Raw genomic sequence first — 13,127 nt, forward strand, 5'->3', positions numbered from 1 at the left:
GTCTCTAAAAAATAATAAGTAAAAAGTTTTTTAAAATACACACAACCTTGGTGATCAGGCTTTGGCTGCAACTCTGGCCCAGGAGGCCAGAAAAAAAAATACACACAAGGCATTCGCAAAGAACAGTGAGCAGATAATAGATAAATCTTTAGTTTTATGAGAGTGACAAGACTGAGAGGTTTTACGTAAGGGATTGCTGTTCTCGGCTTTGAAAGCCTTCTCTACACTCTCTGCAGGGCTCACTTACCACACTGTGACTTCCACTAGAGTACACTGGGCATCTGATCCCTTTCTAGATTCCTTCAGGACCACAATTTATTCATCTTGGTGTTATTTCAAGTGCCTAGCATAGCATCTTTCATTCAGTGGACTGGTAAATGTTTGTTAATGAGTCGCTAGTACATATATCTGAGCAAAACCAGAAATTCGCATTTCTGGAAAAAAATTCCATTCCAATACTGCTAACTCAACCCAGAAGGTTATCAAATCTCTTTTTCATTCCTTTCTCTTCAACCAGAAAGAAAATACTATCTGAACACTTTCAGACATTTCTTCCCCAGCAAACCAAAGCAAGCAAATCAAGGCTTAAACTTTGTCGTCTACATTACTTCCTTAACTTGTTCAAACTGAAATTGCTGTCTTTTCACGCTGTGCAACTTCAGAAAAGGTAAAAAATAAAGAACAGAAGAATGCAATAAGATATGTACTGACAGCACTACGTAATACCTGCTCCAAAGAGGGTTTTTACACCAGTCAAAAATTCTAACAGTTTAAACAACTGCTCAACTTGGCACAGCACAGCCCTAGATGATGCCTTCGCTTCTTCCCTAAATCCTCAGTCTCAAGCCATTCATACGTGTAAAACCATGAAACAAGAGACAAAAAGGTCAGCCATGGCAGGAGAAGTAACGAAAGGCAGTGTTTACTACTGTGATACTCCAGGGATACTGTGGGGCCTCTCCTCTACCCCATCTGCTGTCCCACTGAAGCCTAAAAACACCTTTATATGAGCACTGTTCTTGCAGGCACTTCAGTCTCAAAAACACATTCTCAAATACAGAATCTTACCTATTATCTACCTCAACAGATAGAATTTAACATATTAATAAAGTGTAAGGGCCTTTCTGGATTAAACAACCATTACTTTGATTTGGAATCCTCTCTACTCTGGTGGCCCTGAAGAGGTCACTTCTGAGATGTTCCAGCTTAAAACTGAGAATATTCTAAAAAGCATCTGCCAAGTGGTGATGGTTGCATAACCTTACAAATATATTAAAAGCCACTGAACTGTATGTACACTTTACTTTTCTTTTTGGACAGTGTCTCATTTGGTCACCCAGGCTGAGTGCAATGGTGCCATCATAGCTCACTGCAGCCTCCAGCTCCTGGGCTCAAGAGATCCTCCCACCTCAACCTCCCAAGTAGCTGGGACTACAGGTTTGTGCCACCACACCCAGCTATTTTTTTTTTTTTTTTTTTTTGAGACAGAGTGTCAATGTCGCCCAGGCTAGAGTGCAGTGGTGTGATCTCGGCTCACTGCAACCTCCGCCTCCCAGATTCAAGTGATTCTCCTGCCTCAGCCTCCCCAGTAGCTGGGACTACGGGCGCGCACCACCATGCCTGGCTAATTTTTATATTTTTAATAGAGACAGGTTTCGCCACGTTGGCCAGGCTGGTCTCGAACTCCTGACCTCAGGTGATCCGTCCACCTCGGCCTCCCAAAGTGCTGGGATTACAGGCATGAGCCACTGCACCCAGCTGTATTTTTTTTTTTTTTTTTTTTTTTTTTTTTGTGGAGACAGGGTCTCAGTCTCACTATGTTTTATGGAGGCCTCAGGCAATCCTCTCACCTCAGCCTCCCAGAGTGTTGGGTTTATAAGTGTGAGCCAATGCGCCCAGCTTGTACAGTTGAAAAGGGTGAATTTTACAGTGTGTAAGTTAAATGTCAATCATTTAAAAAAAAAAAAAAAAAAGGCCAGGCGCGGTCACACCTGTAATCCCGGCACTTTGGGAGGCCAAGGCGGGCAGATCACCTGAGGTCAAGAGTTCAAGACCAGCCTAGCCAACATGGTGAAACCCCATCCCTGCAAAAACACACACACACAAAATAGCTGGGCATGATGGCAGGTGCCTGTAATCCCAGCTACTCGGGAGGCTGAGGCAGGAGAATTGCTTGAACCTGGGAGGAGGAGGTTGTAGTCAGCCGAGATCGTGCCATTGCACTCCAGCCTGGGCAACAGAGCAAGACTCCGTCTCAAAAAAAAAAAAAAACAAAAAAAAAACCTCCTCTTCCAATAAATAAGGCATTCAGCAAATACGGAACACTACAAAACAGAATGTTTCTCTTTAAAATTCAAGTTCCACAATACAATCTGCTAAGTTTTGGAGACAGTGCCTCCTCCAAGTAAGTACTGAGGGCTGCTGGTTTTATTCCATGCTTGTTTCTTAATGGCAGTGAGTTCTGAGAAGCATTAAAGGTGGGATGATGCAAAGAACACCACATCATTACTTTAGAAGCTCTGGCTGTTCTAAAAAGTTCAAGTAACCCTAAAATTACTAAACCAGTTTCTTATCTAACAATAAAAAAAACTAGGTGCAAATTGCAACTTAAATACATCCTATCAGATAAAATGCTTGTTCTAATATACATTAAGCCTTGTCTTCTATATTTTTATTCACTTGGGGACCTCACTTTTTAAGGAGAATCTCTTGGCCAATTTACTTGGCTCTAGAGAACTGTGCTTAAATGAATTACACTTAATTACACTTAAATGGGTTCCACTTAATTATTTCTTAAGGAACCTATATTCTTTAGTTTTCAAAGAGATCCAAGGTCAATACTGAATCCCAAGGTCTGACTCTCCAGGCTCCTTCAACAGCTTTCCCGGCATGCAGTTTAAAAACACACCCAGCACAAATTTCGGCTATGGCTTAACTAAAGAACAGAACATGCTAGCCCTATTGTCCACTTCCTCGCTATCAAAAAAACCTTGCAAACTTTTTGGTTCCCCCTTTGTAAGTTCCAATCCAGGTGTTATTTCCTATTTATCCCCCTGCTTTTTATAAGCACTGATTGTTCTCCGATGCTGGCTTTTTATGGACTTAATAGTCTGGAACATGCAATCCAACAGTCTCAATATAACCCTGGACCTCAACTTAGAAAATCAGTTCTTTTCCAAATAGACATCCTACATAGGATAATTTTTTAAAAACATGAACTGGCATTTTGGTACAAGCAATTGGTAAAGTCGGTAACACCAAAATAGTTTTTTGATTAAAAACAAGAAAGTTGACCATGCTGTACGGATTCTCTTACTGACAGCTACTTCCCTACAGGTTTTCGCATCTCCAATTTCTAGCACTGTCAAAGAGAAAAAGATTAGGTGTAACTACAAATTAGCAACTATCAGGAAGAGAGAAAGCCCGCATAAGAGGTAATACCTAGTCACCAACAGTGACCATTCTAGACCAAGGTTGGTTATCCCCGGATGACTCGCTGGACAGGCTGTAAATGGAGTCCTGAGTCTAGTCAGAGTGGTGCTGGTGGCTCCACAGAAAGGAGGAAGAGCCAAGAAAGAAAATGGCTGGATAAACGGAATCTGCAAAGTAAGGTAGGGAATGGGCACTTTTAGGAGCTGAGAAGTGAACTAGGTTAGGCAGTCAAAATGGCTTGATGTAAGTCAAGAATTACAAGCTAAGCTTCCTTATTCAAGAGGAAAACATTGTCTAGAGCCGTACCACCCTGAAAGTGCTCGATCTCCTCAAAAGAAAACATCAACCACCCACACAAATAAATGCCACTGTCAACAAAACCACCAAATCAACCGTGCTGACGTACATACGTCATCAGAGTGTTTCTCCAGACACTATCCCTTTACCACGAAAGAGCAAACGGTGACAAAAGTTTCTGTAGAAACCAAACTCCTGGAGCACTTTTATAATGTCCACTTATCTAAGAACCACCACAATACAGAACTTTAAAGAGAGAAATCAACAATATGTTCTCACTTAAAATGCGCTGGATGTCATGACCCACCCCACTAACGTCCTGGCTAAATGATGAAAGGACGTTCAGCCTTTTCCTTCCTTTTTCATTTTCTCTTTAAGGAAACACTGATAGTTCCTAAAATAAGCACCATTAGGAAGAGAATACTTAAGTTCACTCATTTGACATTCCCACAAAATCAGTACCTGAAAGCAAGCTACCTACCACAAAATAAGCACCATTATGAGAATACATAAGTTCACTCACCGGATATTCCTACAACGTCAGCACCTGCAAGCATGCTACCTACGACTTAAGCAACCCCTAAGTACGGGAAGATGTTTAAAAACCAAAGTTAACTCGAAATTTTATGGATTAGAAAATGTATGTCTACTAGCTACGGTCAGAAAGACACGTGAGAACTATTAAATTATAACAAATGCTCAAGTGTCTGAAGAAATAGACTGAACTACTGATGCACGAACACAGTGAGTTATTCCAAGCAATCTGAATAAGGTCAACGATTTTACAGCAATGAAAATTCTCTAAACGTGTCGCTGACAAAGGATAAAAGTGTAAGCTTCACTTTAAAAAGACACAAATCAATATAGTCTCCTATCACACATTAAGTGAGGAATCCTAACTTTGTGGCACTTTGTAAACTTTAGAAGCGTACACAATGCTAAGGGTAAAACAGATCTTGGTATTGATAGCCAAGTTTCTGCCCGATCACAAGGCTGCAATGCATCTTGGGATTCCTTCAGGACGGTTGGGGGCCACGGACAGTTTAAACCGTAATTACAGTTTCAATAGTAGAAAACGCAGCAGAAGACGCTCTCTCGGCTGGGCCTAAGGTGAAAGGAAAACTCGGCCATTCGTCCTCCCCAACTCCTGGGATCTCTAAACGCCCACCCAAATGACTCCTGGCTCCATCTGTCCTCATTCTGCGCCTCGTGGCAGGGATCCGCCGCGGCCCCCACTCCGTTCCATACGGTTCCCATCTCAAGTGGGTAACTGCGGACTCCAGAGCAGGGCAGGGGCGCGGAGGGGCGGCACTCGGGTCCGGGTCTTTGGGCGCGCTGCCCGCTGTCCGCTCCCCGCCCGGCCACCGCCGCGGGCCGCCCCGCGAAGGCCGGCTCCCGGGCTCGGGGCGCCCCACCCAGGCAGACGGCGCCACTGTCAGCGCCCCACGTGCCGACCGGGCCCCAGGGCCGCGCGCCCCCGGACCGCACCCCTACGCCATGTGGGCTCCGGCGCCCGGCCGGACTTCCTCCCGCGTCCCGGGCCTTTACCCGCACGGCCTCCCGCGCCGCTGCCGGCTCCGTGGTTATTGGCGGCGCCGCCAACTGGGGGTGGCGGCGCTGCCGGGCCCCGCAGGAAGGACGGCACGAACTCGGCGGCGTGGACGTTGGGCACGAAGGGCTTGGCGTTGACGTTGAGTTGCCGGCTGAAGGCCGCGCTGAGGTTCTCCCGCTGGGCCTCGGCCGCCGCCGCCAGGGAGCCGCCGCCGCCGCAAGGGCCCGGCCCGGGGGCTTCCATGTCCGCCTGGTCCCAGCAGTCAGGCGCCGAGTCGCTGCTGCTGCTGCCGCTGCTGCTCCCGCCGCCGCCGCCGCCGCCGCCGCCGCCGCCACTGCCCGGATCCATGATCGGGGGGGCCGTGTGTGTGGTGGACAGAGAGCGGGAAATGGAGGCAGGGGCGCCCGGCCGGAGAGGAGTGGGCAACGCTGACTGAGGGAAGGCGGCGGGGCAGAAGGGCCGGGAGCTAGCGACAAAGATCCCCGGCGTCGCCGCGGCAGCAGCTCCAGTCCCGACTCCACACTCGCGACGACGACAGAGGCGGCGGCGGCGGCAGCTCAACCCTCCTCCTCGTGTGTGTGAGCGGATCTCCTCCCACCCAACCACCTCCGACGGCCTCACAGCCAACCCCACCCCCGGCGCGGATTGACCCCTCGCCGCCACCCGTACCTTCGCCTCGGTAGTTCTCTGTTCTGGCCGCCCCCGTTTCCGGCTATTTAGCGCGGCGGGAGGTGGAACTACAAGTTCCGGCAGCGCCCGCGCTACCCCGCTGCGGTTTTCCCGGGGGCCGACGGGAGTCGAAGTTCAGGGACAGGGCGCAACCGGAAGCGGCTCCGGCTCCCGGCAGGCAACGCGAGGAGGCGGAGGTCTGGTGGCCGCTCGGCGGCCCCACCTGTCACCTGGTGGGGGGGCAGCGGCAGGCCCTGGTTGGTGCAGCTCTGTGCTGGGCCGAAGACCGAGAGTATTTTAGCCCATAGGAGGGGTCCACTCTGGCCTGCTGGACACAGGCTGGGGGAAAACGGACAGCATCTATAACATGGGGAAGAAAAATACACTCAGCTCCCGAAAATTCTTGTACTCTCTTTTCACCACCTTTCCTGCGTTCTCTGCCTCACAGTCTCCGTACCTTATTCTCTCTCCACCTTCTTTCTCCTCACCCCCAGCCAGATTTTGCCCTTCATTTCAAAGCCGGTGCAGATTGCAAAGCTGATTTCATTTTATGTAATCATTTCGTGGAAGAAACAATAAAACCGTGAGATATTCCGGCTTAAAACTGCAGTGTGGCTCATAAAGCGCTGGGGCCCAGGCTCTGCCCAGGCAGAAGGGATTGTTAACTGGAAAATTTCAATGACTCACCGTTTGTTTGACTAGTCATATAAAGCCTTCACCCAAATTTTTCCATCCTTTCCTCCTCCCCGCCAAAGGGTTTGCAAATTAAACAGAGGATTGCCGTATTCCATGGTGTATCCGGCTTACCTAACAGGGTTATTTTGGTGAGTCTAGCTTCCTTATGCACCATTACGTGAAGTGGTTTCCTTTTGAATGGTCTGATTTGCTCAAGAATTCCCATAGTACTTTTCATCGACTGCATCTTACACTTACAGATTAGGTAAACCTGGGAAAAGAACAAAAGCAAACGAGAAATACTTAAGAGTTCGCATTTAGGCCCTTCATGAAGTAGGAAAAAATGTTGCTCTGAGTACCTGTTAAGCTTTCCTGTAATTCACCCATGTGGAGCCCAAGACAGAGAAAAACATATTGTTAGTATTTTTCTGAAAGGAGTCTAGACAGGGTGCAACTAATCTGCCTAGAAATTACAGACTAAAGAAGCACATACATAGAATAGATGTTTCTGAACAACCTTAGGTTGTTAAAAAAAAAAAAAACCTAACAAAATCCAGATCTAGATCTGTATTTTAATTTTCTTTTTTCTTTTTTTTGAGACGGAGTCTTGCTCTGTAGCCCAGGCTGGAGTGCAGTGGCGCGATGTCGGCTCGCTGCAAGCCCGCCTCCCGGGTTCACAACATTCTCCTGCCTCAGTCTCCGGAGTAGCTGGGACTAGAGGCGCCCGCCATCACGCCCGGCTAATTTTTTTTGTATTGTTATTAGAGACGAGGTTTACACCGTGTTAGACAGGATGGTCTGGATCTCCTGACCTCGTGATCCGCTCGTCTCGGCCTCCCAAAGTGCTGGGATTACAGGCGTGAGCCACCGCGCCCGGCCGATCTGTATTTTAATTTTAAACATCTGTATTGTAAAGATAAAAGAGAACTCAGCCTAATGAGATAGGTCAAAAACGAAGCTGTCAAGTATTTTTCAAAAGAGTCCTAGGCTACAGTAATTTGAATTTAATATTAAACTACCAAGCTTTAGGGATTAAAAAAACACATACCGGCCAGGCGCAGTGGCTCACACCTGTAATCTCAGCAATTTGGGAGGCCGAGGCAGATGGATCACGTGAGGTCAGGAGTTCGAGACCAGCCTGGCCAACGTGGTGGAACCCCCGTCTCTACTAAAAATACAAGTTAGGCCGGGCGCGGTGGCTCACGCCTGTAATCCCAGCACTTTGGGAGGCCAAGGTGGGCGGATCACGAGATCAGGAGATTGAGACCATCCTGGCTAACACGGTGAAACCCTGTCTCTACTGAAAATACAAAAAATTAGCCGGGCGTGGTGTGCGGGCGTCTGTATTGCCAGCTACTCAGGAGGCTGAGGCAGGAGAATGGCGTGAAACCAGGAGGCGGAGCCTGCAGTGAGCCGAGATCGCGCCACTGCACTCCAGCTTGAGCGACAAAGCGAGACTCTGTCTCAAAAAACAAACAAAAAAAGCGATCCACCTGCCTCAGCTTCCCAAAGTGCTGGGCTTATCGGTGTGAGCCACCACACCCGGCAGAGTTTGCCTCTGCTTAATAGGAAGTTTTGGTTATAGCCTATTATTATACCTGAAGACCTCACTGAATCATACTTAACAATGTCCATTTTAAAGTTGGTATTAAGTGACTGTCAGATTTACAGAGAACTTAACAACTGTTATGAAAATTAGAACTTCATTTATGCGAGACCTGTATTGCTATTGAATAAAAGATTTTCATCTTATATTCACAAGAAAAAATACAATGTGTTCTAAATGAAATGCCTTCTCTTTCCAGATTTTCACTCCCCACCCACCCACCCCTAAGAAAATGTCAACACAATCAGCTGACTCAAATAATGAACTACACATCCTTCTCTAAGCATTTTGTCTTTGAATACTACTCTCCTCCATGTAGCACTCCTACAGCACTGAATGATCACTTTCTCATAGGTTAGTTCTTCACATCTAATTGAATTAGCAGAGTTTCCTTCTGCCTGGTACTTTTTCTAGGGACAAAGGCAGAAACTGCTCAGACTGCTGCTTAGAAAAGCAGTTGATGTCATTAATTTCCTTGTCTCTGAATAGGATAATTATGGATATTCAGGAAAAAATCCACTCCATTGGTTTTCCAAAGCTTTGACCTGCCAAACAGAGCTCCAGCGGAAAAGGGAAAAGTCTTTCTTGTTAGTTGTGCTAAGTTGTGTGTAAGTTGTGCGACTTGAGGGCAGGGTCTTACCTTAATCTTCTTTACATTTCCACTGCCTAGTGTAATGCCCGGTGTATAAAAGGTGCTTAATCAATTTAGCTGGGATGATACTGTCCTTTGATACTCATTTAAGACTGCTGACACATAGGGCTAATAATTTTATTTATTTATTTATTTTTTAAATAACTTGAGACTCTTGAGACAGAGTCTCGCTCTGTCGCCCAGGCTAGAGTGCAGTGGTATGATCTCAGCTCACTGCAACTTCCACCTCCCAGGTTCAAGCGATTCTCCCACCTCAGCCTCCTGAGTAGCTGGGATTACAGGTGTGCACCACCACGCCCAGCTAATTTTTGTATTTTTAACAGAGACGGGGTTTCACCATGTTGGCCAGGATGGTCTCAATTTCTTGACCTTGTGATCTGCCCTCCTTGGCCTCCCAAACTGTTGGGATTACAGGCGTGAGCCACCACGCCTGGCCTGTATTTTTTTTTAGTAGAGACAGGGTTTCACCTTGTTGGCCAGGCTGGTTTCAAACTCCTGATCTCAAGTGATCTGCCTGCCTTGGGCTCCTAAAGTGCTAGGATTACAGATGTGAGCCACCGCACTTAGCTATTTTAATTTAATTTAATTTTATTTTTTGAGATGGAGTCTTGCTCTGTTGCCCAGGCTGGAGTGCAGTGGAGCAATCTTCACGCACTGCAACCTCTACCTCCCAAGTTCAAGCAATTCTCCTGCCTCAGCCTCCTGAGTAGCTGGGATTATAGGTGCCCGCCACCCCCCCTCCCCAACCCCCTGGTAATTTTTCTATTTTTAGTAGAGACAGGGTTTCACCATATTGCCCAGGCTGATCTGGAACTACTGACCTCAAGTGATCCTCCTGCCTCAGCCTCCCAACGTGCTAGGATTACAGGCATGAGCCACCACACCCCACCCCAGGACTAATAATTTAGAAAACTTAGGAAAAATCAGAGTTTTTCCTACTCTCACACACAAGTCACCGCTCAACACAGAGTACAGTCCTCTCTGGGTAGAGGAAGGGGATTAGTTCCAGGAGCCCTTCAGATACAAAAATCCAACCATACTAAAATCCCACAATCTATACTGTGTGTATGAAAGGTCAGCCCTCCCTACACTTGAGTTCCTGCATCCTGAGAATCCCGTCTTTTTGATCCTCATTTGATTGAAAAAAAAAATCCATGTGTAAGTGGGACCCTCGCAGTTCAGGCTCACATTGTTTAAGGGCCAGTTGTACTCCACCAGTAAGTGAGGGAGTTTCTACCCACCACCAACCAATTCTTCAACAGACACCAACAGGATAAGCAATCATTTCACTCAATTCTGACATTAACCAGAGTTAGGACAGATCCCACAAGTTAAGGGATCAGTCCCACAAGACTGCCCCCACTTCCAATGCCAATAACAGGTTCCACATTGTGACCTGTGCTTCTGACCAACTGGCTATGAATTGGGGGTTCCCATGACCCCCTCCATGGGTTCAGGGAATTTGCCAGAGTGGCTCACAGAACTCAAGGAAACAGGGCAAACACGGTGGCTCATGCCTGTAATCCCAGCACTTTGGGAGGCCGAGGCAGGCGAATCACCTGAGGTCAGGAGTTTGAGACCAGCCTGGCCAACATGGTGAAACCCTGTCTCTACCAAAAAAATACAAAAATTAGCCGGTTGTGGTGGTGGGTGCCTGTATTCCCAGCTACTCAGGAAGCTGAAGGCAGGAGAATCGCTCGAACATGGGAGGCAGAGGTTGTAGTGAGCCAAGTGCTCCACCACACTCTAGCCTGGGCAACAGAGCAAGACTCCGTCTCAAAAAAAAGAACTCAAGGAAACACTTTACTTACAGTTACCCATAAAGGACATTACAAAGGATACAGAGGAACAGCCACGTGGAAGAGATGCACAGGGCTGGGAAGGGGCATACAGTTCCTATTCTGTCTCCAGGTGTGCCATCCTCAAGGGTCCTCCACGTGTTCAGCAACCCAGAAGCTCTCTGAACCCTGTCCTTCTGGGTTTCTATGGAGGCTTCCCTACATAGCCATGACTGATTGTATCATTGCCCGTTGCTGATTAACTCAACCTTCAGCCCCTCTGCCCACCGAGAGGTTGGATGTGGGGCTAAAAGTTCCAAGCTTCTAATCATGACTTGGCCTTTCTGGTGACCAGTCGTCTTCTAGGAGCCCATCAAGAGTTGCATCATTAGGCAGGGTGCGGTGGCTGATGCCCAGCACTTTGGGAGGCCGAGGCAGGCAGATCACCTGAGGTCAGGAGTTCGAGAACAGCCTGGTCAACATGGCAAAACCCTGTCTCTACTAAAAATACAAAAATTAGCTGGGCGTGGTGGCACACGCCTGTAATCCCAGCTACTTGGAAGGCTGAGGCAGGAGAATCGCTTGAACCTGGGAGATGGAGTTTGCAGTAAGTTGACATCACCCCACAGCGCTCCAGCCTGAGTAACAGAGTGAGATTTCGTGTCAAAAAAAAAAAAAAAAAAAAAAAAAAACAGAAACAAAAACCAAAACAAAACATATACAAAAGAAACAAAATACATGTAGGCCAGATGCTATTACCTGCTGAAGCCCTCCCTGTTCAAAATGCGGATGAGGAAAGCTTGGAGATGTGTTAAAGATATAATAGCCAGCTGGGCGCTGTGGCTCATGCCTGTAATCCCAGCGCTTTGGAAGGTTGAGGAGAGGGGATCACCTGAGGTCGGGAGTTCGAGACCAGCCTGGCCAACATGGTGAAACCCCGTCTCTCCTAAAAGTACAAAAATTAGGCCGGGCACAGTGGCTCTCACCTGTAATCCCAGCACTTCGGGAGGCCGAGGCGGGCGGATCACTTGAGGTCAGCAGTCTGAGACCAGCCTGGCCAACATGGTGAAACCCTGTCTCTACTAAAAATACAAAAAAATTAGACAGCCATGGTGATGCACACCTGTAACCCCAGCTACTCAGGAGGTTGAGGCACAAGAATCACTTGAACCTGGGAGGTGGAGGTTGCAGTGAGCCAAGATCATTCCACTGCACTCCAGCCTGGGCGACAGAGTGAGACCCTGTCTCAAAAAAAAAAAAAAAAAAAAAATCAGCGGGGCATAGTGGCACCTACCTGTAATCCCAGCTACTTGGGAGGCTGAGGCAGGAGAATCACTTGAACCCGGGAGGTGGAGGTTGCAGTGAGCCGAGATCGTGCCACTGCACTCCAGCCTGGGCAACAAGAGTGAGACTACATCACACACACACAAAAAAAGAGTTGTATGATTAGAACAAAAGACACTCCTTTCACCTAGGAAATGCCAAGGGATTAGGAGCTCTGTGTCAGGAACCCGGGTCAAATACCAAATATTAGAACAAATGATGCACCTAGCACCTCTATTGCTCAGGAAATGTCAAGAGTTTTAGAACCTCTGTGCCAGAAACTGGGGGCAGAGCCCAAGTATATATCTCTTACTATATCACAATAGCACTATGACCTTTTTTGGCAGGCTTCTTTCACTTAGCATAATGTTTTCAAGGTTCATCCATGTTGAAGCAGGCATCAGTACTTCATCCCATTTTTTTTTTTTTGAAACAGAGTCTCGCTCTGTCGCCCAGGCTGCTGTGCAGTGGTGCGACCTTGGCTCACCACAACCTCTGCTTCCCGGATTCAAGAGATTCTCCTGCCTCAGCCTCCCGAGTAGCTGGGACTACAGGCATGAGCCACCATACCTGGCTAATTTTTGTATTTTTAGTAGAGAGGGGGTTTCCCTATGTTGGCCAGGCTGGTCTCGAACTCCTGACCTTGTGATCTGCCTGCCTTGGCCTCCCAGAGTGTTGGGATTACAGGTGTGAGCCACCCCGCCCGGCCACTTACTCCCTTTTAATGGCTGACTAATATTTTATTGTATGGATTTTACCACAATTTGTTTATCCGTTGATGGACAAATTGCTTTTGTAACTTAAAGAAGTCAAAAATAAAAGGTTAAACAAGTGAGATCACAGTAAAGTGTGTAGTCTAGTTAGTTGTGCTGTCTTAATGTCAATGTCCTGAATTTTGATAGTGTACTATAGTTATGGTAGATTTTACTGTTGGGAGAAGCTAGGTGAAGGGTACTTGGGACCTCTCTACCATTTCTGCAACTTTTCGTGAGTCTGTAATTATTTCAAAGTAAAAAGTTAACGCAGGGTGCAACGGCTTATGCCCGTAGTCCCAACTACTCAGGAGGCGGAGGTGGGAGGATCGCTTGAGTACAGGAGGCTGAGGCTGCAGCAGCCCTGTTCATACCACTGCACTCTAGCTTG

At 47.4% G+C, this 13,127-nt stretch overlaps 1 protein-coding gene across 6 annotated transcripts in view, besides 8 other annotated features; it reads right to left on the minus strand.

Annotated features, from left to right (window-relative positions):
- Positions 1 to 6,563, minus strand: part of GSPT1 (G1 to S phase transition 1) — a 48,527-nt gene extending 41,964 nt beyond the window's left edge. For 2 of the 6 annotated variants that reach the window (NM_001130006.2, NM_002094.4), the window contains exon 1: positions 5,278 to 5,865. In NM_001130006.2, the coding sequence (NP_001123478.2) occupies positions 5,278 to 5,629 (352 nt within the window). In that variant the 5' untranslated portion in view covers positions 5,630 to 5,865. Of the gene's footprint in view, positions 1 to 4,252; positions 5,122 to 5,277; positions 5,866 to 5,950 lie in introns of those variants that run through there. The other 4 variants (NM_001130007.2, XM_047434035.1, XM_047434034.1 and 1 more) reach the window with 4 other exon arrangements.
- Positions 4,995 to 5,044: a silencer, noted in NCBI's record as "silent region_7211". NCBI's record gives its function as "represses an Ori minimal core promoter by ATAC-STARR-seq in GM12878 lymphoblastoid cells {active_cell/tissue: GM12878}" and the evidence as "EXISTENCE:reporter gene assay evidence [ECO:0000049][PMID:35858748]".
- Positions 5,085 to 5,324: a silencer, noted in NCBI's record as "silent region_7212". NCBI's record gives its function as "represses an Ori minimal core promoter by ATAC-STARR-seq in GM12878 lymphoblastoid cells {active_cell/tissue: GM12878}" and the evidence as "EXISTENCE:reporter gene assay evidence [ECO:0000049][PMID:35858748]".
- Positions 5,309 to 6,246: an enhancer, noted in NCBI's record as "H3K27ac hESC enhancer chr16:12009257-12010194 (GRCh37/hg19 assembly coordinates)". NCBI's record gives its function as "activates a minimal SCP1, AML or CMV promoter by ChIP-STARR-seq in naive H9 embryonic stem cells {active_cell/tissue: H9 hESC(naive)}" and the evidence as "EXISTENCE:reporter gene assay evidence [ECO:0000049][PMID:30033119]".
- Positions 5,309 to 6,254: a biological region, named in NCBI's record as "H3K27ac hESC enhancer GRCh37_chr16:12009257-12010194".
- Positions 5,415 to 5,484: a silencer, noted in NCBI's record as "silent region_7213". NCBI's record gives its function as "represses an Ori minimal core promoter by ATAC-STARR-seq in GM12878 lymphoblastoid cells {active_cell/tissue: GM12878}" and the evidence as "EXISTENCE:reporter gene assay evidence [ECO:0000049][PMID:35858748]".
- Positions 5,855 to 6,004: an enhancer, noted in NCBI's record as "active region_10460". NCBI's record gives its function as "activates an Ori minimal core promoter by ATAC-STARR-seq in GM12878 lymphoblastoid cells {active_cell/tissue: GM12878}" and the evidence as "EXISTENCE:reporter gene assay evidence [ECO:0000049][PMID:35858748]".
- Positions 6,195 to 6,254: a silencer, noted in NCBI's record as "silent region_7214". NCBI's record gives its function as "represses an Ori minimal core promoter by ATAC-STARR-seq in GM12878 lymphoblastoid cells {active_cell/tissue: GM12878}" and the evidence as "EXISTENCE:reporter gene assay evidence [ECO:0000049][PMID:35858748]".
- Positions 7,305 to 7,805: an enhancer, noted in NCBI's record as "H3K4me1 hESC enhancer chr16:12011253-12011753 (GRCh37/hg19 assembly coordinates)". NCBI's record gives its function as "activates a minimal SCP1, AML or CMV promoter by ChIP-STARR-seq in naive H9 embryonic stem cells {active_cell/tissue: H9 hESC(naive)}" and the evidence as "EXISTENCE:reporter gene assay evidence [ECO:0000049][PMID:30033119]".

Source organism: Homo sapiens, chromosome 16, assembly GCF_000001405.40.
Source record: "Homo sapiens chromosome 16, GRCh38.p14 Primary Assembly".
NCBI lineage: Eukaryota > Metazoa > Chordata > Mammalia > Primates > Hominidae > Homo > Homo sapiens.